The sequence below is a fragment of the Homo sapiens genome, chromosome 6, assembly GCF_000001405.40.
Source record: "Homo sapiens chromosome 6, GRCh38.p14 Primary Assembly".
Lineage (NCBI taxonomy): Eukaryota > Metazoa > Chordata > Mammalia > Primates > Hominidae > Homo > Homo sapiens.
This window is the reverse complement of record NC_000006.12, coordinates 131001750-131027942: the sequence shown is the minus strand read 5'-3', so window position 1 is coordinate 131027942 and position 26193 is coordinate 131001750. Positions and strand designations below refer to the sequence as shown.

The following is a 26193-nucleotide window of genomic DNA, read 5'->3' as shown; positions in this document are numbered from 1 at the left end:
TAAGTATATTATATGTTGGATATTTGAATTTTGCTTAGGCACTTATGAGAGAAGTTATAATGTAAAATTTTCATTTTGCCTTCCTTGGGAATAGTTCAAGTCCTTGCAGTTTGGTTTTAATTTTTAAAATTTTTAAAAACTTTAAATTTTTGTGGGTATGTAGTTGGTGTATATGTTTATGGGGTACATGAGATGTTTTTATAGGCATGCAATGTGAAATAATCACATCATGGAGAATGGGGTATCCATTCCTTCAAGCATTTATTCTCTGTGTTATAAAAGTTTCATATAAACTTTTCAGAATGATGCCAGCCCTATTGCTATGACGGTTGGCTCCTGGTGCCACTATTAATCATTGGCTGCATTAAGCATTGGCCTTGTATCTTTTTGGCAAACATTTGAGTCTCTGCAGGTTTGTGAGGTAATGGATAATTGTTGGACTTGCTAGGCAACAGCCCGCTGAGACCCAATCTGTTGTGTTCCAGGGGGAGCTATAACAGCTATGTTGGGGCCTGTCCCTGTGGAAAGGAGCTTATTTGCCTTATTGTCAGCTTTTATTGTATTAAAATACACACTTGGATGTGGGTGATGCACATTTAGATGTGAGTCTAACTTGTAAGGCTTGCTGTTATGACTTGAGTATATTTCAGATTTAATAGAATCAGTTATACCTGATGGTTCTGGCTTGCAGAAAGAAAAGACAAAAAAACAAACAAAAAAACCAATAACTCCAAACCCAGCCCTGATACAGATAGAAAATTTAACTTTTTAAATATTTAGTTATCAAATAATTTCCATTTATTAGGAAAAATGTGTTTTTTCCAATGTATTTTGCCTGCTCAATCTCTTACGTAGTAAGTATTTGGAATGAGGGCTGTAAAAGTCATAAGCATTCTTGTACTTGAGCTTATTTAGTAAGTCAGACAAATGAGTTATGTAGATAAAACAATGACAGAGTAAGTTTTAGACCAGTAACATGTATTACATGCATTGAGGTACCTAAAGGAATATGTAGTAAGGGAAGAAGTCTGGGAAACATTGATGAATGGGGCTAGAAAAGGCGAGGGAAGAGAAGAGTGGAGGTGAGATGAATGCAGAGGGGCCATCTTGCACATACCGTAGAGGGCTGTATGGCTTTCCATACAGACTAGAGGAGTTAAAATTTCATCTGCAGGCCAGAGGGATTCCGTTGTAGCTGTTAAGGTGTGGTATGGTGAAAGTAGCATTGAAACAAATGAATAGCATTTGCAGAGATGTCCAGTATGGTTTGTGCGAAAGGCCTAAACTGGTGGTGTATACCAGGAAAGATGGGTTTATTGGTACAAAGTGACTACCCTCATAAAGTGACATTTACTTTGTTCAGTTCTCTTTAGCCCAGAGTTTGAGCCTCTGCTTTAGATACACAGATTCAGTCTTGTCAGCGTCTTGTTAATAGGGCTTAGGAAAGCTGAACCATTCCTTTCCTGCTCTCCCCCAAGCAAGAAAAACAAAAACTGAAAACCCAACTCCCACAAACAAATAATGAGCCTTTAGAGGAGATGGGAGGGTATGAATTAGAATGCCAATAAATACACACATCATCTTGTCTACTGTGTGTGTTCTGCTTGTTGGCCACATGGCACATTGTCAGATGGTGTATTATGGGGGTTGAATCAGAACTGGAAGGTTGGTTATAATGATAAAGCTTATGAGCAATTCCTTGTTATTTCTTGTATCTGTTATCTGTTTGTTCCTGGGCTAGGTGCTTCCTCTTGTTCATACAGCTTCAATAAAATGAATCTAGTCCCTGCCCTTGCCTGTCCACTCAATAAGGCTATTCTTGCTAGAAGGGACTAAGTTCCTAAATTCCTTCTGTCTTTCCTCATTGCTGGCTGGCCACTCTTCAGATTTACAAATGTATAAAAAGTCTTTTTAATAATTTCAATCATAGTATCTTTAGCCTCAGTGACCTGGGGGCTGTTTGGTATTTTTTTTAGGTGACTTTGAACGGCTTTGCTTTGATCCACTTTGTGATGACTTTTGTATACTCTTAAAGGATAATCTTACATTTAGATTTCATTTTGCCCCTGTGTACTGCATACAATTTGAAGTGGACCAAGATTGCTGGCAGGGAAGTAAATCAGGAAGTCAGCTCATGGGTTCAGCTTCTGACTGTGAGCTTGCTTTGCTGCTTGTACGGTATTTCCATACTTTAGGGGGTTTGGAGTAGAGAGTTTGCTATAGGAACAAAGACAGGGATCAATCTACCAACCTTTGCAAGGAATAGATGACAGACACTAATGAGGACAAATGTGTTTTAAAGAAAGGATGGAGTCAGAGGCAACTCTGGAGTGAAAGCCCAAGGGGGAGTCAGTTTTGTGGGAAGATGATTAATTTTTGACAGAGCCACAGTAGATCATCCAAGTGGAGATGACTATAGGCCAGTGGTTTGGTGTGGTTTGATACTGTGACTTTGCCGATTGATCAAGGCCAGAAATGTACATTTGGGCAGTGTAATATGAAATAATCGCTGTCTGATCTCGATCAAATCTGTTATTTTTTCTGAGCATCTTTAAAACAAGTCTATAAAAAAGGCAACAATTCATGCCGTAAGTTCCTTAGGATGTTGGTTTCATGATTAATAATAAAATAGCTAGCACTATTGTGGTATTATGCTAAGTACTTTTGGATGTAGTATCTCATTTAGCCTTCAAAACAAGTTAGGAATTGGATTCATTTGTCCCAGTCATACCGGGGGGGAAACAGGCCTTAGAAAGGCACCTACAGTCACCATTACCAAGAGTGGTCTTGGAACTTGTGGGTATCTGGCTGCTATTCTTAACTACTACACTGCATTTCCCCTCAGATAATTTATATAAAAGCAATCTAAAAAGCATAGGCTTAAAAAAAAAACCCTGAAATAAGCAGAGTAGAGTGAGGCCTCCAATGAGAAGATGGTGGGCTGAACTGAGTTTTGGAATGATACCCATAGAATGAAGAATAGAGAGGAAGAAGACTGTTCTTAGGAGAATAAAGGGAATTAAGGGAAGAATGGCTTTGAATCCAAATAAAAGTGTATTAAAGAGAAGATTTAATGTTAAACATCAGCTGAGGATATAAGGAGAGGGTAGGAACCAAAAATTCTAGAAGCTAACCTTTTTTTATTCTCAGGTATCAGTTCCTCAGAGAAGGCTCTAAGGTTAGTTGGGACAGGGTAGTCTACGATCTGTGACTACCCAGTGTTTAGTATAACACCTAGTGCGTCGTATGTGCTTGGCATTTGTTAAGTAAGGGAATTATGTTAGTAGACATCTGGGAGATAACTTGAGTAAGACACGGTCGGTCCTTGCGCTCAAAGAGCTCTTGGTGCAGTCAGGGAATTTGATTGTTAAAGCATAAATAAATTACTGTGTGCTGGTGAATAGCTCTTGTGGTTGATATGGTGCTTTGGCTTGTGCTCCTCATTTCTGTCATAGAATGGCTTATGACATGCCATTCTACGACAGAGATGCTTAGTTTTGGGAACCTCTTGCAGCTGGAAGGCTTAGCCGTGCCACACCTCTTCCTTGGCCTGGATACAAGACCCCTTATACTGAACACACCTCTTTCCTGGCAGCTCTGCCACACTCTTAACCATAAACCCAACACACGAGTGATATCAAATGACTCATTTACTTCTTCAGCATGCCATATTGTTTCATCACACATGGGCTTTTGTATATTTGTTCCTCCCTCTGCCTGCTTTCTCTTCTCCTCACCTGTCAACCTTCTGCTGATCTTCAGAGTTTAGTTAAAAAAAAAAGTGTTCATTCTGCTGAGTTTTTGGCCTGCCCTCACCCTTACAGCATTTGGCTTCTCCTTCCTTTGTGATTCTGCCTCTGTTGTAGACCTAGAGCTCTGTAAAATTATGTGTTTCCATGTCCATCTTTCACAGTGACTGCAGGGCTTTGTCCACTTTCCTCCTTTTTTTTCCAGTGTTCAGCCTAATGCCTGAGTCATAGGGGGAGTATCCAATACACAGATCCTGAATGAGTGAAATAATAATGGCTGACTGTCTCTCAGAAAATGACAGTTTTCTCCAATATTTGTTTTAAAAAAGGTTTATTTATTTGATATGGGAAAAAAGAGTTAAATACTCCTATAGACATAGAGTTCTTTTCAGGAAAGGGATATATCTATATATCTATATATCTATATATCTATATATCTATATATAGATATATAGATATATATACACACACACACACACGCACACATTTTTTTTTCTTCTTCTGTTTTTGAGACGAAGTCTCACTCTGTTGCCCAGGCTGGAGTGCAGTGGCACGATCTTGGCTCACTGCAACCTCTGCCTCCTGAGTTCAAGCGATTCTCCTGCCTCAGCCTCCTGAATAGCTGGGATTACAGGTGTGTGCACCACCATGCCCGGCTAATTTTTGTATTTTTAGTAGAGACAGGGTTTCCCCATGTTGGTCAGGCTGGTCTCGAACTTCTGACCTTGTGATCCACCCGCCTCGGCCTCCCAAAGTGCTGGGATTACAGGCGTGAGCCACCGTGCCCAGCCTATATTTTTATCTACTGAAATCTTTGGCTTACTAAATAGTAGATGGAATTAATTTTGGAGGGAAGATGAAGGACAACACAGGAAAATAAATAAGAAATAATAGGAAATAAATTAGGCCGTTGACATCCTAAGAAGTCTTTATAAACGTTTAGGGTAGCAGATGAAATAATAAAGTCTTTAAATATTGCATTTATTACATAGTAGTCACATACACATGTGAAAATAGCAATATATCATTATATGGAAGGAATACTTTGCATTATTTTATGAAACTTTATGTAAAATTGTGTAAAACTTATCTAACGTAGTTTTTTAGGACATACTATATTCATTTTCTTTTATATTGTTTGAGATTCAATACTTTTTACTAATTTATTCAACAAACATATATTGATGCCAAGCAATATTGTAGGTAACGGAAATAAGGTGGTTTACAAAACAGACAAAAATTCCTGCCCTTGTGGAAATCGTCTTCTAGAGTTGAGTCTGGTATGATGATGTCACAAGAATTTTATCCAGAAACATGTTTGATTACTTAATATCTACGATGTCTCCAAGAGGTTAGTGTTACAGAATTCCATTTAAAAAATATTTTTAAAAGGCTTATATACAATGGTATTATTTACAGTTTGAAAGGAAATAATAACCTAGGAGCACTAGCACTGGATGATGATGATGATGACACTGTTTTTATGATAGCAGCGAGCACAGTTTACTTACCTGGCACAGTGATATAACTAGAGTGCTTTGATTCATTTGAACCCCACACTTAATTTTGACATAGGTGCTATCAGTTATTTTCCTTTTACAGTTGAGGAAACCAAGGCAAGGAGATTAAATGACTTGGACAGCAGATAAATATGGAGCCAGGATTTGAACTCAAGCCTGTTAGTAATTTATTATTCAAAATAAAGCAATGGAGAGATTTTTCCCTTTAATAAGAGACTTTGTGAAGATTTGAATATAAAGCTGGTGGAGGGTTATCTATATATAGGAGATAGATAGCTCCTATAGATAACTAGGAGTAGAAAGAATGTAGTAGAAAGAATGCAGTGTCACGTTACCATGTGACAGGAGTAGCAGGGCTTCCCAATCTCCAGGCCATGGACTGCACAGCAGGAGGTAAGGGGTAGGTGGCCATTACCTCCTGAACTCTGCCTCTTGTCAGTGGCATTAGAGTCTCATAGGAGCATGAACCCTATTGTGAACTGCACATGTGAGGGATCTAGGTTGCGTACTCCTTATGAAAATCTAATGCCTGATGATCAGTAACGGTCTCCCATCACCCCCGTGATGGGACTGCCTAGTTGTAGGAAAACAAGTCCAGGGGTCCCACTGATTCTACATTATGGTGAGTTGTGTAATTATTTCATTATATATTACAATGTAATAATAATAGAATTAAAGTGCACAATAAATGTAATGCACTTGAAGCATCCCAAAACCATCCCCCGGCCCTGGTCTGTGAAAAAATTATCTTCCACGAAACCAGTCCCTGGTACCAAAAAGGTTGGGACTGCCGGCTTATAGTGTGGTAATTATGAGCACTACTGGAGCTTGACTGTCTGGGTTCGTCCTTACCAACTAGGTGCCTTAGTTTCATCTATAAAATGGGAGTAAGAATAGTTTTTACTTCATAGGGTTTTTGTAAGGATTAAATTAGTATATACAACAGAATGGTGCATGGGAAGTGTTAGCTAATGCTCTTGCTATTATTGTTTGTATTACTTTTTTTTTTTCCCAGACGGAATCTCACTCTTGTTGCCCAGGCAGGAGTGCAATGGTGCGATCTTGGCTCACTGCAACCTCTGCCTCCCGGGTTCAAGGGATTCTCCTGCCTCAGGCTCCTGAGTAGCTGGGATTACAGGCACCTGCCACCACGCCTGCCTAATTTTTTGTTTATTGCCATTTTTAAATAGGATTCCCTTTTTCCTGAGGGTTTTTATTTTGAAAAAGTTGCCATATTTTGGGGTGTATACCTTGCTTGCTTCCCTGATTCATTTTTTTGTTTTGTATCAACTGGGAGGTTTTGGCCAGCATTTTGTTCAGAGGGTAGTGGTGTGCAGTTCTTTAAGTTTATGTGGGTTTTTAAATGTTTTCCATTAATTCTCGTTTGCTATACCTGCTAATAGTTAGAGCCATCAGTAGGTGTTGTAACCTAGGAAGTCCGGCAGTCTTGAAATGATGTTTGTTGAAATGATATTCTTCTGCATGAGCTCCTTCTGTGGAAAGATCACAGCACTAACTAAACTCCCATGAAGTGATAAGAAAGGGAGAGGTCAGAGTGAACTTAAGAATTGTTCCAAGCCTAGTGTGGTGGCTCATGCCTGTAATCCCAGTGCTGTGGGAGGCCAAGGCAGAAGGATCACTTGAGGCTAGGAGTTTGAGACCAGCTTGGGAAATAAAACAAGACCCTGTCTCTACAAAAAAAGTTAAAAAAAAAAAATTAGCCTGGTGGGGTGGCACATGCCTGTAGTTCCAGCTCCTTGGGAGGCTGAGGCGGGAGGATCGCTTGAGCCCAGGAATTCAAGGCTTTAGTAAGCTATAATCATGCTACTGCATTCCAGCCTGGGTGACAGAACAAGACTCTGTCTCTTAACAACAAAAAATTGTTCCAAGAGCATTACTGGCACAATGAGTGCTGAAGAGCTGAAGAGCCGAAGACTCATGGGAAACCCCCCTCAGTGAACTGAGCAACTTTGATGGAAATCATCAGTAATGGCTTGGTTGACCCCATCTAAAGAATGAGCCAAAATTATTGATTGGCATCTCTCACCAAATAAACTTTAGATATCTAGCATGAAAAATCAATCCATCAGTCTTTTCACTGTCATTTCATTCAACTGTGAATAACTCCAGTGATGGGAATATCTTGAAATGTGTGGAAGCAGTAGATAGAGGGAATCACTTTGGGTCAAGGAGGATGTAAAAGGTAGACTTGCAGATGATTTAGAACATATTAACAGTGAGAACACTACATAGCAAAACTTGAGAGAGGCTGCAGAAACTGATATGAGATGCTTAGCTTTAAATTACAGACATATTAAATGAAAAAAATGTAAAGGAGCTCAGCCTTATATTTAAGACAATAGAAAAAACACCAATAATTTATGTACATAAATATGAGGGAGTTAATGATATGAACAAATATTGTATGAAAAAAAGCGAAAATGCAAAGTGCTAATTCTTGGGCAGGGTGGGAGAAGGCAAATCACCCAATAAAGGATAACCCTTTAACATTTTATCTAAGAAAAAAGAAGGAAGAGAAAAATATTTACCATCTCAGATTAGAAGACAATATAAATATATACATCTATGTTAATACTTTTGAAAATACCAGCAAAATAGAAACATATGTTTTCCTCCAGAAAAACAGAAAACCTTGGAAATTAGTAACCATGTTTCCATGGTTATTAGACTAAAAAATAGTGGTTGTTGGACCTAGACTATGGGAAAGTGTTTTCATACTGCCATGGAGGAGAAACTCCCACACTGTTCCAGAAAATAGAAATATATTAAAGCATTCTTGAATTTTTAAGCTAACATAACCCTGGTAACAGTACTGACCAGAACAGTGAAAACAGGAAAACTACAGGTAAATGTCACCCATAAATATATGTAATGCCCCAGTAAAACAGAAAAAAAATCTATTATACATAGTATATTAACTGTAATTCATTTTAGAAATGAAGAAATAATATACAATTTCACACTTCTTTAAAGAATTGATTGTTAACTAAAAGGAAAACATAAAATAGTTTTGCTAGATAAAGCATTTTATGAAATTCCAATATTCATTCAGGAAAATGCTAACTAATTTAGGAATGCAGTATAATTCTCTACCATGCTAAATAATGTCTTTGAAAATAAAATCCAACATTATACTTAGCAATATGATAATAGCACAGATTTCTTAAGTTCAAGATACAAAATTACTACTTTTAGTCATTTATATAGTTGTTGAAATTTGGCAGTACAATATGACAAGAATAGAAATGATCATAAATATTGGAAAGGAGGAATCAAAATTATTCTTTGCAGTTTATATAATATACTGTGTGCAAAACTTAAGTGAGTCTAGGGATAACCAACTAGAAAATTTATGTAAAGAAGATCAAGATCATATTTCCAGTTTCTAAAAATGCAAAACTCTGTTTCCTAGGAACAAATCTAACAAAATATGTAAAATCTTTATGGATAAATCTTGAAACATTGAAGGATGTGAAAGAAGGGCTGGATAAATGGAGAAATGTTCATTGTCCACAAATGGGAATGCTTGATATTGTAAAGATAACAGTTTTCCCCAAATAAATGGGTAATTTCAGTGAAAATTCACGCATATCCCAAGTAGGGTTTTTATGGGTCAGCCAGTCCTAAAGTTAATATGCAAATGAGCATGTGTTGAAGAATAGTCAAAATAATTTTGAAGAACAAGTTGGGAAGATTTTGTCCCTACCACATATCAAGGCTGTTGAAACTATTGTGGCAAGGATAGAGAATTACACCAGTAAACCTGATTTGAACGGATACAAGCCTAGAAACTTAATATAAACGAATATAACGAAGCTTGTTACACTATAGGAGCAGTGTTATAAATCAGTAGGGAAAGGTAAACTATTAAATAAATGGGGTAAACATCCACTGATTGGTCTATATAAAAAAAATTCATTCCCTACTTCATACCATATACAAAATGCATTATAGATGTATTTATGGATGCATTACATTTAGACTTAAAGGCAAGAAGCCAATCTTTAAAATATTTAGCAGTAAATATAAGCATTGTTGATGAGTTGGCGGGGAGGGGACACACAGAACATCATAAAGAAAAGGATTCAGAAATTTGATTCTATTAAAATAAACTTCCATACGAAAAAATTACCACAGTGAAAAGAAAAGGTTCACATTGGTGTCATACATTTGTAAGGCATGTTTGAAAAACATTGCTAGCTGCCTACCTCGCCTGTTCCCCTTTCTTTACCAACACAACCCTGATTTTGTGCCCATTTAGAAATAGCTGTCTCATCTGATGTCCTTTAGAGGTCTCAGTGGTGGCCAATGAGATGTGAGCTTAGGATTTCTGAGAAAGTTTTACTCCTTGAATATGGGGTCCGGTCTTTCTTCCCCCACCCTTGAAGTGGACATAATGTTTAGAGCTGCGGCAGCTGTCTTGCAGAGGTGAAAATGAGGCTAGTGTTAAAGACGGCAGAGCAGGAGGGCAAAAGGAGGCTAGTTTCTTGATGACATCCTTGACTGTGTACAACAGCCATGGCTTGCTTACTCCTGTACTTGTAGTCAGAATGTACTTGGGTCTGTTCTAGCTAGGCCTTTAGGTAGCCTTGGCCAAGTGGCAATCCTGTTGAAAATAGCCTATATGCTACAAGGATTAAAAATCTAGATTATATGAAAAACTGTTACAAATTAATAAGAAAAAGGCAGATAACCTAGTAGCAAAATAGAGCATAATTGTACACAATGCAGAGAAATGGAAACTCAAATGGCCAATAACCCTGAGTCTCACTAGTAGTTAGGCAAATGTAAGTTAAAATGGAGATGTTTTAATAACCATCATAATATGAGTATAAAAATACCAGTGTTGGGGAAGATTCATTGTTGGTGAGAGCCTAAGTTGGCATAACCATCTTGGAGAACAGTTTGGCAGTGTAAAACTGACCATACCATACTAGCTAGCAATTGCACTAGGTATGAACTCTTGAGATTCCTGTACCTGTAGGTGAAGGGAAACTCAGAAGGCATGCTTATTGACACATTGATAATAGCAAAACTTTGGAACCAACCTATCCTTCAATTAGGAAAAATAAAGTATATTTTATAATGAAGTACTGTATAGGAGTTAAAATGAGTGAGCTGCATATGAACTACATAGAGCTACATATATTAACATAATGTACTAAAATACAAAAAAACTGTGAATATGGTGAGAATTTATATAAAATATGAAAACAATAATGAAACTATGTGAAGTACTGTTATCATCCATTGAGAGATGTGCAAACTCTGATAAATGATTTCTACTCATCAGTGAATTTTCTGGAAGCCTAAAAATTGATTTTTAAAATCCAGCCAATGTTAGTTTGTTTTATTCCCAACAAGGTTTTACTTGCTGGGATACTGAAACCACTGAGCTGCTCCTAGTCCAGTGGTATAATGTTAAAATGTAAAACACTTTGCAAAACATGTTTATGTATATTTTTATTTAAGTATTCTAATAACTTTATGAGATAATATGACAGGTAGGATTTTTATTGTAACTCAAATTAAGTGATGGTAGTTGGACTTGAACTTACCATTTCCGATGCCTAGTTTAGTTCTTTTTATAATAGTTTCATAGTGTTTTTCCAACACACAATTTAATGTCTAGGTATACTTCATTTATGCAGCAGATTTATTGCTGAAAAAGTCATGTGCAAATAAGTGTTTAGAACAAGTGTTATTTTAAATGTAACTATAGTGGCTTTCTAATTTAAGAGACCCAGTGGTGAGTCTCTTAAAGTAAATAATGGCTTACTAATTTATTGCCAGGTTTTTTTTTTGTGTGCGAATATAGTAGTGCTTTTTTTTTTTCTTTTAGAGACAGAGAGTCTCCCTATGTCACCCAGGCTGGAGTTCAGTGGCATGATCTCAGCTCACTGCAACCTCTGCCTCCCGGGCTCCAGTGATTCTCGTGCCTCAGCCTCCCGAGTAGCTGGGATTACAGGCACATGCCATCACCTTAGTATGTACAGGAATCATCCTGGGAATTTATGAAAAACACAGATTTTCTGACCCCCTTGTTTCTCTCTGTTATTATGTTGGTTTGTTAAGGGCTGTGAGTTTTTCCCATTCATTTTGGTATTCTCTACAGTGACCAGCCTGGTGGAGTGTGTGTGTGTGTGTGTGTGTGTGTGTGTGTGTGTGTGTGTGTTTCCTTATTAAATGCTTAATAAATATTTGCAGGATGATTTCAGGAAGAGCTTTCCAGAAGCGAATACCTGAACAAAATGAATACTGTGTTAATTGTGGATGGAGAATACTAGAAATAATTCAATGCTGTTTCTAGTGTGTGCTGAAATTGGTTTTCAGTTAAGCTGTTAAGCATTATTTTTGAAACATTCTTTTTACTGGAAAGATCATTTAAAAACATGATTATTTTAAAATTCCACAGAATAATTTTGCTGGAAAAGGTATAACAGAAAATAACTGAATGGAAAAAAATCACGTTGTTTCAAACAATTATCCCAAGCCAGCTTGGAAGTTACAGTTCTCTTCTCATAGAAGATTTCTTTAGCCACAAGCTACTGGGAATTGTTCAGCCCATTGGCAGCTACACAGAACATTGCCCTTTTCACCCTGTCCAGCACACAAACCTAGACGATTCATAGCTGGAACCTATCTTCAAGAAAGTGATGGCTTTATTGAAGCCAAATGTCCAGACTTTTTCATTTAGACACATGAAGGACCTTCAGTGCTTTTGCCATATAAAAGTGAACCACAGAGACATTCTTAAAAACAACACCCGGAAGCAAATAAAACACCTGAACTTACTGTGTGCAAATTACAGATGCAGACATAGCCTATTTGGCAGTAAGTACATCTCTCTGTCTAGCTCACTCTATCCCTCTTCAGTACTAGCTGTGTGCTTTTTAATATAGTAACTGTACAATAAATATTAGTTGAATGTAGGTGGAAGTAGGATGAGAATGAACAGAAATCAGTGACCAATTCTGTATTTTTCATCTCTTTTGTTTTTTAGAAGAGTCCAGTTTTGTTTTAAGATGAGTGTTCTAATAGGGTGAATTTAAAAATGTAACAGTAGTAAAGAGATTCCTTAATTGCTCATTTAGTTTGATTTGAAGTAAATCTTCCCCAGGCTGAAGTTTTCTACTGTGGGCCAGGAAACCCATGTTTAAACTGTGAACTCGAGTGCTTTATCTTCTTATGCCAGACCTCTGGATAACGTTGGCCTAGTTGTTCTGTTGTTGTTTACTTATTCGAAAGTTATTCTTGTGAAGATGTGGACCATTAACTCAAGAAATCTCTGTTTTTACTTTTTGGTGATTGTCTTACAGGCTATTTTATGATAGTGGTGAACAGCACACAAAACTCCTTCAGACCCTCCCAAGTGAGTTTCCAACACAGACTCTTTCTTCTTGCTCTTTCCACAGATGCTTTCTCATAAGTAGTATCGATTACAGATGTACTTTGATGATGCTGATAAGCTGATAAACAATAATGTGAAATCTCTTTGATATTCTGTTTTGTTTATGGAGATGAAAGATAGCCTGGTTTACCAACATTTTCTTAAGGCAAGCAGGGAATGAAAGCATGTTTACAGTTGGTTCCTGCTCCACTGTGCAGTTTATTTAAGTTGGAAAAATTACCTAAAATAACAAGATGTGCCTTTTGTACCTAGATATAGGCAAGCAGGTCTCTTTACCTACCAGACACCCAAACATTTTCCTTTGAATTTCTATTTTGAATTCCTTGGTTTGCTTTCCGGATTTCTTCCCTGTGTAATCTATAGGATTTATTATGCTGGAATAATTTAAATTCAGAAAAGAAGTTCTGAATTTGAGCATATTTTACATTAGTGTTTATGTTGGACTCTGACTGAAAAATACTCTTTTATCTTCTCTTGAATCAAAGTGTAATGGGTCTTGTGTAATTGAATCGAGGTTCCTTTGCTTATTGTTTTTGTGTATGGGGTTTTTGGACAGTTTCTGAAATTGTACCCTTTTGGAGAGGTTGCCTTTGCGTCATTGTTGGAACTTGTTTGCAGTTGCAAGTCATTTTTGGAGACAGAAAACGTCCCTTGGAAAATATTGTGCTGATTTTTCTTTTTACACAATCTATGAATTGTGGAGCTTGGGTCACAGATTGAATTTTGGCATTCAACTCTCCCAGGACAGGGTAGTATCCAGCTTCATTTTGTGAGTGATTACAGATGCCTTTTTACCATTTGGACTTCCTTGTGTTCTAAATAAATGACCAGTCTGTGAAATTTTAAGCCAAATGGGATACAAAGGGATTCCTGGTTTTTAAAGGGTCATCTTTAATTTTGCATTTAAAAGGCAGCATTGGCTTCATTTTTAGAAATTAAATACGTTATAGCTGTTGCATAATTTACCACCTCCTACCCTCACCTCCCCTTAAATAACTGAAGGAGAAAAATGTGGGTTGATTTTGTATACTTGAATAAGAAATGTGAGAAGAACTTCGGCTTCATCCTGTGACTTGCTCAGATGTCTTTATGTGATCCATAGTATTGTAGAAAAACCTCAGATTCAAATGAAAGATATGGTGAGTGAGTGGGCTGCCTGAGTTTTTTTTTTTTTTTTAATCACACCTATTTTAACTATTTATTTGAAACATGGCAAGTTGAGAATAGTGGGACACCAAGGCACAATTAAGCATCAGGAAATAGCTTCACGTGTTGCCCATTGCATCCTGGACGATTTGGATATAAAACAGAAACAGCTGTGATTCCGAATGTCCTATAAATTTCAAATGTTGGTGTGGCACACTTTATGAGCTGATTTAATAAATAACTTTGCCCGTATGTCTTTGGTGACTTGCTTTCAATTTTCTTTACAAAAATGCAAAATATATGGGGCCCTTTCTTAATGCTAAATGAAAAATTGTGTGCATTTGGCTCTATAAAGCAAAGTAGCCTTGAGATATGGGCTTGCCTAGAAATTGACTACATTTTTGTGGGAGAACGGGTGAAAAGGGCAGTTTCCTGTGTTGCTGCCAAAAGGTCTGAACAATCTGTAGTAGCTTGTGGCTGGAAAACAACTTCTGTGAGGCAAAAACAGCAACTCTAAACTGGCTCTGGATATGTGTGAGAAAATACTCTTTTTTCTACTTGATTATTAGGCTTCATAGAAAATTTCTTTTATAAAGTGAATTTTTAATCTCAACCCCTTGAAAATGGTATTTTAGCTGATTTGGATAAAAGTCTGGGGAAATATATTTGGAGTGAGTGCAAGTGGGAAATAATGTGATACTTAAAAAAAAAGTAGCATTTATATTTTGCTTTTATTATAGCCATGTGCTTGGTTGGTAATCCATGTTTTTCTCCTGCCTTTAGAGTGAAGTAAATTTTGGCATCTTAGGCATGTATTTTACAGGATTGGGTCTTATATATATATATTTTTTTTTTTCTTTAGTTAACTGATTAGAAGTGTGTTTTCTTCTTAGTTCCTCTTGGGCAATGTCTTCCATTTTGTAGTAAAAACATGTTTACAAAATAATATGTGTAACTACTGGTAATTGCCATTTATTAGTACTTACAGTGTGCCAGGCACTGTGCTCATGTTCTTACATTGGTTACACCTTTTACTTCTCTGGATAGGGGAAATAGCTTAGAGAGGGTGTCATGTAGTTAGAAGATAGTTGGAACCGGGATTTGGAGTCCTGTCTATGTGTTGCTAATTATTATTAATACAAAATAGTTACTATTACAAATGTTCATTTTGTAGAATCAAATCAGTTAAAGAAGATTCTTGTAGAATGGGCTTGGATATGTGGAATGAAGATAGAGTTGGTTTGACTTGGTTTTAATGTTTTTACTAAACTCTTTCTTTGTTGCACTTCCGCCATGCCTGAGCACCTGTGTACCTAATCATTTAATGTAATTTTGTGGTCTCAGTTAGCAATTAGCATCACATACACTCAATCATGTTTTTATTTAAATGCTGCAGACTTTGCTTTGCTTTACTTTGTTGGACTTAATTTTCATTTTTTTTCCCTCTTCTATTGGGGATATCTATTGGCTTTTCATTAAAATGCAGGCAGTAGACCAATATGGCATAATCTTTTTCTCATCTCAATATTTTGTCCTATTCATCAACATCAGTTTCTTCTTCATTGTATAGTTAATAAGTAGCCTGATGTTCATCATCTAGTATGGTGGTTCCCAGCCCAGGTGATGTTCCGTAGGGGACATTTTTTATTTCCACAACTTGAAGGTGTGCTAGTGGTATCTAGTATGTGGTAGCCCGCCATGCTGCTAAACATCCTACAGTTCACAGGGACAGCTCCTCACAATAAAATGTTGGTAGTGCGGAGGTTGAGAAACCCTGACTTAGCTAACACAGGGCCCAGGCTAAATCTAATCCGTTAGAAGCTCTGACTTCATGAGATTTTTTTTCATAACAAAACAACTCAGTAGTAACTAGGGAAGCTCCCCCCGCCCCCATCTAGAGTCTCCCTCAGTTGCCCAGCCTGGAGTGCAGTGACTCAGTCTCGGCTCACTGCAGACTCTGCCTCCTGGGTTAAAGTGATTCTCATGCCTCAGCCTCCCGAGTAGCTGGGACTACAGGTGCGTGCCACCACGCCCAGCTAATTTTTGTATTTTTAGTAGAGATGGGGTATTGCCATGTTGGCCAGGCTGGTCTTGAACTCCTGACCTCAAGTGAGCCACCTGCCTTGGTCTCCCAAAGTGCTGGATTATAGGCTTGAGCCACTGTGCTTGGCCTGGAAAGTTGTTCTCTTCTAGAGGTGGAGGAAGAGGATATCCATCTGTTTTCTCACCCAGTCCTAACTTAGCACCCATTTACTGTACACTGGATTCTCTTTCACTTGCTTCCTGTCTTCACCCCTACTTAGGGGAGGTCACCCTTTAAACTGTTACCTGCCATTCTATTAGCCACGGTAGTCGACTGCCTATTAAGAGTGGTACCTGAACTACCTTGGCTTGGGGTGGGAGAGAAGCCAAAGAATGAAAGGAATACCCATCAAAGATATATTTCACTTAAGACAGTTTTGGCTTGAATGAAGGTCCTAGTCTGCCTCTCAGAATTATACTGAGTACCAGAGAATGCAGTTGTGATTAAGACATAAGTTTGAAGTACATGTCTATAGAGTCAAGTGTTGATTTGTAAATAGAAAGCCGAAATACAATGGTTACATGGAATTTTCAGAAGATCTTGAAGAAACTTCTCAGTTAATATCTACAAAATATCCACCTTGTTAGTGGAAAAATGGACTGATTTATTACCTCAGAAGTTCTTGGGCCTACCGTTTGTAATTTTGACTAAATTTGAAAAGTTGAAAAGAGCAACTTGTAGTGGTCTTTTATGCTTGATGCCTTTGCAGGTACTTGGGAATCTGTACCTCCTTTCTTCCCTCCATCCTTTATGAATGGCTCCAGTTTTATCCTACTTCATCCTCTATTCTTATGCTACTTTGCATATGGCTTTCTGTAGATAGTTCTCAGAATGGATTGTGATTATGCACTTACTCCCTGTGTCCCTTACTAGGCTATGAGGTCCTGGCACAGTGCTGATTACATAATAGCCAGTCGCTAAATTTTGAGTGAATGAATGGTAGAGGAGAAAAAGAAGCAAACATCTTAGCAGTCTTAACACTGGATCAGGGAAAATGGTCTGTAGGCTGATGAAAAGTCAGGGTGCTGAGGAGGCTCTTGAGTAAGTGAAGGTAGGAATTGTTGCCTTAGCTTGATCATCTTGGTGCTGTGCACGTTCCTTTTTGATGCTGGAGGTCTGGATGAGTGAGGCTAGGAGGCTGGCAGGCTAGTGTGTGGTCTTGGCTATATCTGCAGGTCCAGGAGGTGTTAATGTTTTTCACCTGAGGTTGCTCCAAGCTGAAGAATGATCTGCCTATTTGCTGGTATATGGATTTACACACTCAAATCTGATGTTTTTAAAAAATTGATGATTTAATTCTGGCCAGGTGCAGTGGCTCACGCCTGTAATTCCAGCACATTGGGAGGCTGAGGTGGGAGGATCACTTGAGGTCAGGAGTTCGAGACCAGCCTGGCCAACATGGTGAAACCCCGTCTCTACTAAAAATACAAAAATTAGCTGGGCATGGTGGTGTGTACCCATAATCCCAGCTACTTGGGAGGCTGAGACACGAGAATTACCTGAACCCAGGAGGCAGAGGTTGCAGTGAGCCGAGATTGCACCACTGTACTCCAGCCTGGGTGACAGTGTGAAACTGCGTTTCAAAAAAAAAAAAAAAATTAATTAATTCTTTATTTCTATCAGGAAGAAAGGAGTTGCAAAGCAATAGAAATGGCCCTTGATGTCCAGCAGTGATTGTACAATGACAGCACTCTTGTAGCACCTGGAATTCTGGGCAGTGCTTCTTACTCTGTCTTTGGGCAGACATGCTTCCTTAGCCTTCACTTCTACTGGCCCTTGAATTTGAAGAAACACAGCTCCATTTTACTCTGGGGTTTATATGCTTATGTGCATTAGTGTTACCATTAGTGACTTGGGTTAGAATAAATAGTAACTCTATAATGTAAATGTTTTGTTTTTGTTGAATTACATGAAAGCATTAATTAGACACTTGAATTCAATCTAGAGATAATTGTGGGAAAAGCTGTTTCTTTCAGCGAAAGGCCCACTAACAGAGCATTGGTGCTTATCACTTGTGGCCATGTCACTGGACTTGTCCCTGGCAAATTGAACATGCCTGATTGCACAGATGTTTGCATGGTTGAACAAATTATATTTGGACAATAAACTGTTAGGCCCATCAGTGATTACGGTGGCAGAACATAGTTGCATATGGACTGATTTGGTAAGAGAATTAAGAGAGAATATTACCAAACATTTTCATAAAAGGGGAGAAAACAAAAGCACTCTCTGAAAGTAAATTTTCCTGTATTTAATGGTTATGTGGCCTTCAACTTATTAATATTACTGGGGCAGATTTACCTTTTTTTTCTAAATGACTAGTTTGGTTTTTTTTTTTTGGTGGGGGTGGGTGACAGTTTGTTAAACAGAGTTTAGATTTTTCCTATTGGAGGATAGCTGTGGTTGGATTATGGCTGGGAATATGGGAACATCCAGTTACCAGTGTTACATCTTTTTAAGTCTATAATTTTTTTTTGCTTTATGTACAGGTGTGAAATATGTACAGGTACGAAATAAGTTTCTAAGAGCCTGGGAGTGTGGATTGAGTAGGGAATTCTCATAGGATTTCTGAGAATTGCTAAGGGTCTGTGTATTAGTCTGTTCTCATGCTGCTATGAACAAATACCCGAGACTGGGTAATTTATAAGGAAAAGAGGTTTAATTGACTCACAATTCCACATGGCTGGGGAGGCCTCAGGAAGCTTACAATCATGGTGGAAGGCAGCTCTTCACAGGGCAGCAGGAGAGTGAATGAGTGCCGACTGAAGGGGGAAAGCCCCTTATAAAACCATCAGACCTCGTGAGAACTCACTATCACAAGAACAGCTTGGGGAACTGCCCCTGTGATTCACTTAACTCCACCTGGCCCCACCCTTGACACATAGGGATTATTACAATTCAAGGTGAGATTGGAGTGGGGACACAGAGGCAAACCATATAATTCCAACCTGGTCCCTCCCAAATCTCATATCCTCACATTTCAAAACACAGTCATGTCCTTCCAACAATCCCCCAAAGTCTTAACTCATTCCAGCATTAATTTCAAAGTCCAAGTCCAAAGTCTTATCTGAGACAAGGCAAATCCCTTCGGCCTATGAGCCTGTAAAATCAAAAGCAAGTTAGTTAATCCTAGATAAAATGGGGGTACAGGCATTGGGTATTTACCATTCCAAACGGGAGAAATGACCAAAACAAAGGGGCTACAGGCCCCACCTAAGTTTGAAATCCAATAGGGCAGTAATTAAACTTTAAAGTTCCAAAACGATCTCCTTTGACTCCATGTCTCACATCCAGATCATGATGCAAGAGTTGGGCTCCCATGGCCTTGGGAAGTTCCACCCCTGTGGCTTTGCAGGGTACAGCCCCACTCCCGGCTGCTTTCATGGGCTTGCATTGAGTGTCTGTGGCTTTTCCAGGGACAAGGTGCAAGCTGTTGGTGAATCTACCGTTCTGGGGTCTGGAGGACAGTGGCTGTCTTCTCACAGCTTCACCATGCAGTGCCCCAGAGGGGACTCTGTGTGGGGTTCCAACCCTATATTTCCCTTCCGCACTGCCCTAGCAGAGGTTCTTTCTGAGAGCTCGACTTCTGCAGCAAACTTCTGCCTAGACATCCAGGTGTTTCCATACATCCTCTGAAATCTAGGTGGAAGTTCCCAAACCTCAATTTTTAACTTCTGCGCGCCCGCAGGGTCAACACCACGTGGATGCCACCAAGGCTTGGGGCTTGCACCTCTGAAGCAATGGCCTGAGCTGTACCTTGGCCCCTTTTAGCCACCACAGCTGGAGCTGAAGCAGCTGGGATGCAGGGCACATGTCCAGAGGCTGCACAGAGCAGGGGACCCTGGGCCCAGCCCACAAAACCATTTTTCCCTCCTAGGCCTCTGGGCCTGTGACGGGAAGCACCTGCTGTGAAGGTCTCTCACATACCCTGGAGACATTTTTCCCATTGTCTTGGGATTAACATTTGGCTCCTTGTTGCTCATGCAAATTTCTGCAGCCAGCTTGAATTTCTCCCCAGAAAATTGGTTTTTCTTTTTTATTGCATTGTCAGGCTGCAAATTTTCCAAACTTTAATGCTCTGCTTCCCTTTTAAACATAAATTCAAATTTTAAACCACCTCTTTGTGAACACATACAACTGAATGCTTTCAGAATAATCCAGGTCACATCTTGAATGCTTTGCTGCCTGGAAATTTCTTCCACCAGATACCCTAAATAATCTCTCTTAAGTTCAAAGTTCCACAGATCTCTAGGGCAGGGGCAAAATGTCACCAGTCTCTTTGCTAAAGCATAGAAACAGTGACCTTTACTTCAGTTCCCAACACATTCCTCATCTCCATCTGAGACCACCTCAGCTTGGACTTCATTGTCCCATATTACTATCAGCATTTTGGTCTAAGCCATTCAACAAGTCTCTAGGAGGTTCCAGACTTTCTCACATTTTCCTATCTTCTTCTGAGTCCTCCTAACTGTTCCAACCTCTGCCTGTTACCCATTTCCAAAGTTCCTTCCACATTTTCGGTTATCTTTACAGCGGCACCCCACTCCCGGTACCAATTTACTGTATTAGTTCATTTGCATGCTGCTATAAAGAGATACCCAAGACTGGGTAATTTTTAAAAAAAAGAAGTTTAATTGACTCACAGTTCCATTTGGCTGGGGAAGCCTCAGGAAACAAAGTTACGGTGGAAGACACCTCCTCACAGGGCGGCAGGAGAGAGAATGAGTGCTGAGCGAAGGGGGAAGCCCCTTATAAAACTACAATATCTTATGAGAACTCACTGTCACGAGAACAGAATCGGGGAAACTGCCCACCTGGTCCTACCCTTGACACATGGGGATTATTACTATTCAAGGTGAGATCTGAGTGGGGACACAGAGCCAAACCATATCCGTCTGCTTAAAGTTTGTGGCTGTGGATTTAAATTGAGAAAAGTTACTGTGGCTATTTTCATTTGGCTGCTTGGGTGCACATCTGAAGTAAGGCCAAGGTAAATGTAACCATAAATAGGGCGAGTGTGTTGGAGGTAGGGAGGGGCAAAGGAGTTAAGATGTGATTGGGGCCCATGGGATCCAAGCTGCTTAAGGAAGGGAGTGAAGACTGGGGCACTGGGAAGGTGGTATGGGCACAGGATCCTCAGGGTTAGAGAATTGTTGGAGAAGAGGGATTGAGCTGGAAAGATAGATATTCAGAGGTCGGGGTGCATGAAATTGAGATAATTGTAGAGTAATAGGTCTAGGGCAGGATTTTTCAAAACCTAGTATTAGAGAGTCATGACCAGCATTTTTAAAAAATGCTAAAAAATCTAACTCATGGAACTTGTAATGAATCTTTTTTTTTTTTTTGAGATAGAGTCTCAGTCCGTCACCCAGTCGGGTTCAGTGGTGCGATCTCGGCTCACTGCAACCTCTGCCTCCTGGGTTCAAGCGATTCTCCTGCCTTAGCCTCCTGAGTAGCTGGAAATACAGGCGCGCACCACCACACTTGGCTAAATTTTTTGTTTGTTTGTTTTTAGTAGAGACGGGGTTTTGTCGTGTTGACTAGGCTCGTCTCGAGCTCCTGACCTCAAATGATCTGCCTGCCTCGGCCTCCCAAAGTGTTGGGATTACAGGCGTGAGCCACCGTGCCCAGCCTTAAGTGAACTTAAAAAGAAGTTCGTCGGGTGCGGTGGCTCATGCCTGTAATCCCAGCACTTTGGGAGGCAGAGGCAGGCAGATCATTTGAGGTCAGGAGTTCGAGACCAGCCTGGCCAACCTGGTGAAACCTTGTCTCTACTAAAAAATACAAAATTACCCTAGTGTGGTGGTGGGTGCCTGTAATCCCAGCTACTCAGGAGGCTGAGGCATGAGAATCGCTTGAACCTGGGAGGCAGAGGTTGCAGTGAGCCGAGATCGAGCCAGTGCACTTCAGCGTGGTTGACAGAGCGAAACTCCATCTCAAAAAAAAGAACAAACAAAAGAAAACCTAACACACAACAAGAAGGACTTCTTTTTGGGAAAGGAAAGAAATAAGGAAGGAGAGGAAAGAGATGCACCTTTTTTTTCTGGCTGAGGCTATCTGCTGTCAGGGAGAAGGCTTTTTGAGTGGAAGGGTTGGGGCTGGATTTAGCATGAACTCCTCCCCAAGCTTAGCCTTGAGTCTTGATCAGAGTGATCACATAGTCATTTAAAAATGTTGTTTTCATTAAAACTGGGTGTGTTTACTGTGTATTTGTGAACTGCGTTGGGATGTAAATATTTCCCTCTGGGTCACAGTTGGAAAAAATTGAAAGCCAGTTCTTGGTGCATGACCGTGGGAATGGGTAACTGAGATAGTGAGAAAAAACAGGATTACTGAGATTTGCCTTTTAAGTAGGAATGCATACACACTCGCATAGTCTTCTGCCCTGTGCCTTATAGAAGGGAGCAGGAATATGGGTAATAACTAAGAAATGTTTACATTTGGAATACATTATACATGTGAAGGCTTGGCTTTAGATTCTGGCTCCCCCCAACACTCCCCTTTCCACTGACTTTAAACATTCTAGAGTGGTGGGGAAAAGCATGGCCCAGAGGTATTGGTTGAACTTCTGGCTCCACACAGATAGCTCCAGCTTCATTGTCAGACTGGGAAAAATAGATTAGACAAATGTCAGGTTCTAGGGCATCTCTAAGATCTTGTGAGTCTGTAAAAGCTGTGCAATGAGGAGAGGGGACTTTGGATGTGCTTTGGGTCACAGGGAGAGAGCTTTCTGGGACATAGCTATGTTGTTGCCTATAAACCACATCACCAGCAGTAGATAATTGAAAACTGACTACTTTTTAGAGGTTTTTGAAGGTTAAAAAAAAAAAAAAACTCTGTAAAAGATCAAGTAAGCACCGTCTTGGGAATTGCAAGATAGAAGTTGCAGCTTCTTCCTTTTTCTGTTGTCTTGACTACTTTAAATGTATCTATATTAGCATTGACGTCTGAGTGTGTTTTTGCCTTTGCCTTTGGAATGTAAGTAAAAACAGACAAACATATTTAGGCTTTTCTTATCCATTTCTTGATTGTTATGAATAGTAAAATCTTGATAGAAAGTTGCAAAGCTTTATGTTGCTTTCTTGACTGAATTTGGAAGGTGAAGAGTCTAGTTCCTGTTTGTACATGACCGTCCTGGACAGATGCTGGCAGTGGGAAGCAGGAGGGCTACATTCGGTGGCTACTAAAAAGGAAGGGAAAGGTGACCAGGGAGTTGTGTAGTGGGGAGTTGGGTGATTTGGGCAGAGGCTTAAATTTCTGTAGCCCTTCACCCCTAGTCTGTTGGAGTTCAGAGTTCACACCCCATCTCCTTTACAGGCACCTCATTTCTGGGTGGGCTTCTTGCTGGAGGAGTGGTGGGGGTAAGGATTCTGCATTGCACTGTCTGGTGTGAATGGAGGGTGCACTTCTTCCTCTGGAGAGCACATGTGTGCTAGTCGGAACTCCTTACTGCATGCTTTCCTTAGAAGTGTTGTTAGGATTTGTGGTTTTCAAGTACTTTCAGGTGTGTTAATAGGTTAATTGACCTTCCTTTGGTAGGCCTAGGGAATTAATACTCCCTTTAATGACTGTTTCTGTGAAGAGAGAAAATGATAACAGTAGCTAACATATATTGGTGTTTACTTTATGTCAAGAAACTGTTATTCTACCTGCTTTGTTTTAGATTTCCTTAACCTCATTTTACAGATTGAGGATTGGAGCTTACACCCCCAGGTTCACTTTTGTCATTCCCTGTCGGTCTTACTCCCCCACTGTGCCCACCCCTTCTTCAATCAAGCCTTCACTCCATCTGTTGTTGGGAGTATGTATAGTTCTTTTTTCAAGCTGGTGACTCAAAATCAGGCTTTTGGAATACAACCTATCATGAAGCAGGGACTGTCTATAGATAGGCAGGCAGAACAAGTCGTTCACAGGCCTGCCAGATATTAAATAAAGGTTTAGAGCTGTAAAGTTTGGCCTTCCAAGGATGATCCTTGACAATATTTGATGCTATGTTCTATAAAAAGTTTAAAGCTGATAAGTTGTAAGTACAGGGCTTCCTAAGCAGAGCCAGTCAAATATGAGTGTGTTTTATGTTCAACAGCGTTGGGTGGGCTCAGAGATTCAAGCTGCAAGCTGCATTCCAGGGACAGTTCAGACCCATGGCTGGTAATGACATCACCTCCACAGGTGCCAAATTATTCTCCTCTTTTTTTCCGATATAACCTGCCCATGCTTTTGAAAAAAGGAAAAAGAAAATGTTTAAGTACTACTGGGAGATTTTGTTGTGAAAATAAGTATGAAATCCAATTCTGGGCATGTGTGTAGAAGTAGGGAGATGACAATATGATGGTTTTTGAAAACCATACAGTTCCAGAAATTCCAGTTTTAGGTTACTTGCGTTCAGTCACTCCCAAGAGGTTTTTGTGAGGAGGGGTGGGGATGGAGAAAGGGATTTTAGACTAGATGAGAAAAGTAGTAGTGGAAAAACAAAACTGTGGTTTTGCCCTTTCTCTTTTCCCCCTAATTGAAGACTGGGCTTACAGTGTTTCTAAGACAACTCTGATTGGCAGTGTATTTCGAAGAGGCTGAAGAGCTCTGATTGAAAATGTCAAGCTTGGATTCAAAGGATTGGATCTTTTTATATGTTTATTGACTACAATTGGAAATAGAGATCATAAATAATAAAATGAGACCTGGCCTCATTTCCACCTTCACTGTTAAAATTATATCGTTTTTATCTTTGTATGCTACATTCATGGCTTATGGAATAAATCTTTAAGTAAACACATATTTTTGTACATTTCACAAAGTGAGGCTCGTATTCTGGTTTTGTTGTCATTTTTCACTCAGTGTTATTTTGTGTACTCTTTGCAGTGCCAAGTGATTTTTTTTTAAATGTAGAATTTTATAACTAAGTGACACTTAAAAAGAGATAACTAATCCCTCCTGCTTTAATTTTACTGATTAGGAAATTTAGTAAAGTGAAATCAAATAACTTGCTTAAAACTACTATTATTTTCATAGCTGGAATTAGAATTGGTTCCACCTATTCCAGAACATTTTTCACTATACCATTCTGCCTGTTTTACTTTATCTACTGGGAAAAGTTTATAAAGTATTGTTTTCCTGTAGGATGACTTAAAAGATCATTGACCCCGAGGGTTAAATCCATCTAACTGTAACGTTGAGTGAAAAATTGAGACCACCCAAACACAGCTGTTTAGTTAATTTGGCCCAAGCGATTGGAAGAAGTTTGAAAACCATTATGATGTGGCTGGATTGTTGCCATTTTAGGGTTGTTTGATGTGAACCTGAAAGAAATAGAGGTTAAAAACACACAGTCATATCTGAAGTATTTCTCTTCCACCATATTAAAACTAATAAATCCATTAACCTTTTAAAATGATTTTGCCAAAGTAACTATCATCTCACATGCCAGATTCCTTTTACTCTGGAATGTATTCACTTCATTTTGCTGAATTCCTGTAGGAATTCGTAGCTGTGTAATTCCTTTAGCAATTGCTCATACACAGACTTACGGCATTTATTCTAATGTCACCTTGAAATTTGACCTGTTTATTAATGTTAACTTTCCATGAGGTTGTCTGTGTTAGCGGTCTAGGTTATCAGCTCCTCAGGGACAAGGCTGTTGTATTGCCATTCCCCTTCTTTCTTCTCTCTCCCCTCCACTTTCCCTCGACTCCATAGTGCTAGCAGAGGGCCTTGTACGTTCTCAGTATTATTGCTAGGACTGGTGAAAAACGTTCTGAGTGCATTTGGGGCTAATTTGAGGACAAGGTCTCTTCTCTGTGTGAGTTTATAGTTGTGCTGGCACTGGTGATCGAAGGAATGCCTCTGAAAAAAAAGCAAGTCTGGCATGATTGGCACACTTTGAATCAACAGGTAGTTAAAGTTCTTTTTGAGGCAGTAATCATGGCTTCAGACTCACCTTTATTTGCATTTGACTTTAGTCTAAATCTAGACAAATCTATATGTGACGGCTCAGGTGAATTTGGTGAGATGAGAAGGAATGTCTGAAAAATAGATGATTGAGAATCATTAGTTTTTGTTTTGCTTGGAAATATTCTTCCACAGAAATCTTTAGAATATTAAATTTGGCATCCTAAAGACTTATGGACAATTTTGTGCATTTCTCGGCTTTCTTTATCTTGAGGGAAGAATTGAAGCTGGCATGGGGGCAATGGAGAAATTTAGTTTTGAAAGTCTAAGGAGAGCAGGGAAAAAAGGAAGTAACTTTCGTTGCTAGGATCTACTTATAGG

General features: G+C 39.3%; 1 protein-coding gene across 17 annotated transcripts in view, besides 1 other annotated feature; it reads left to right on the top strand.

Annotated features, from left to right (window-relative positions):
* EPB41L2 (erythrocyte membrane protein band 4.1 like 2) overlaps positions 1–26193 on the top strand; it is a 223899-nt gene that overhangs the window by 35303 nt on the left and 162403 nt on the right. The window contains exon 1 of one of the 17 annotated variants that reach the window (NM_001350309.1): positions 14334–14381. The exons of the other annotated variants lie outside the window; for them this stretch is intronic. The gene's annotated coding sequence lies outside the window, so the exon portion shown is untranslated. Of the gene's footprint in view, positions 1–14333; positions 14382–26193 lie in introns of those variants that run through there. 17 annotated transcript variants of the gene reach the window in all.
* Positions 11760–11929: an enhancer, noted in NCBI's record as "experimental_89780 CRE fragment used in MPRA reporter constructs". NCBI's record gives its function as "activates a minimal promoter by MPRAs in K562 erythroleukemia cells, with activity observed for both the introgressed and non-introgressed 6:131337239 variant alleles {active_cell/tissue: K562}" and the evidence as "EXISTENCE:reporter gene assay evidence [ECO:0000049][PMID:34662402]".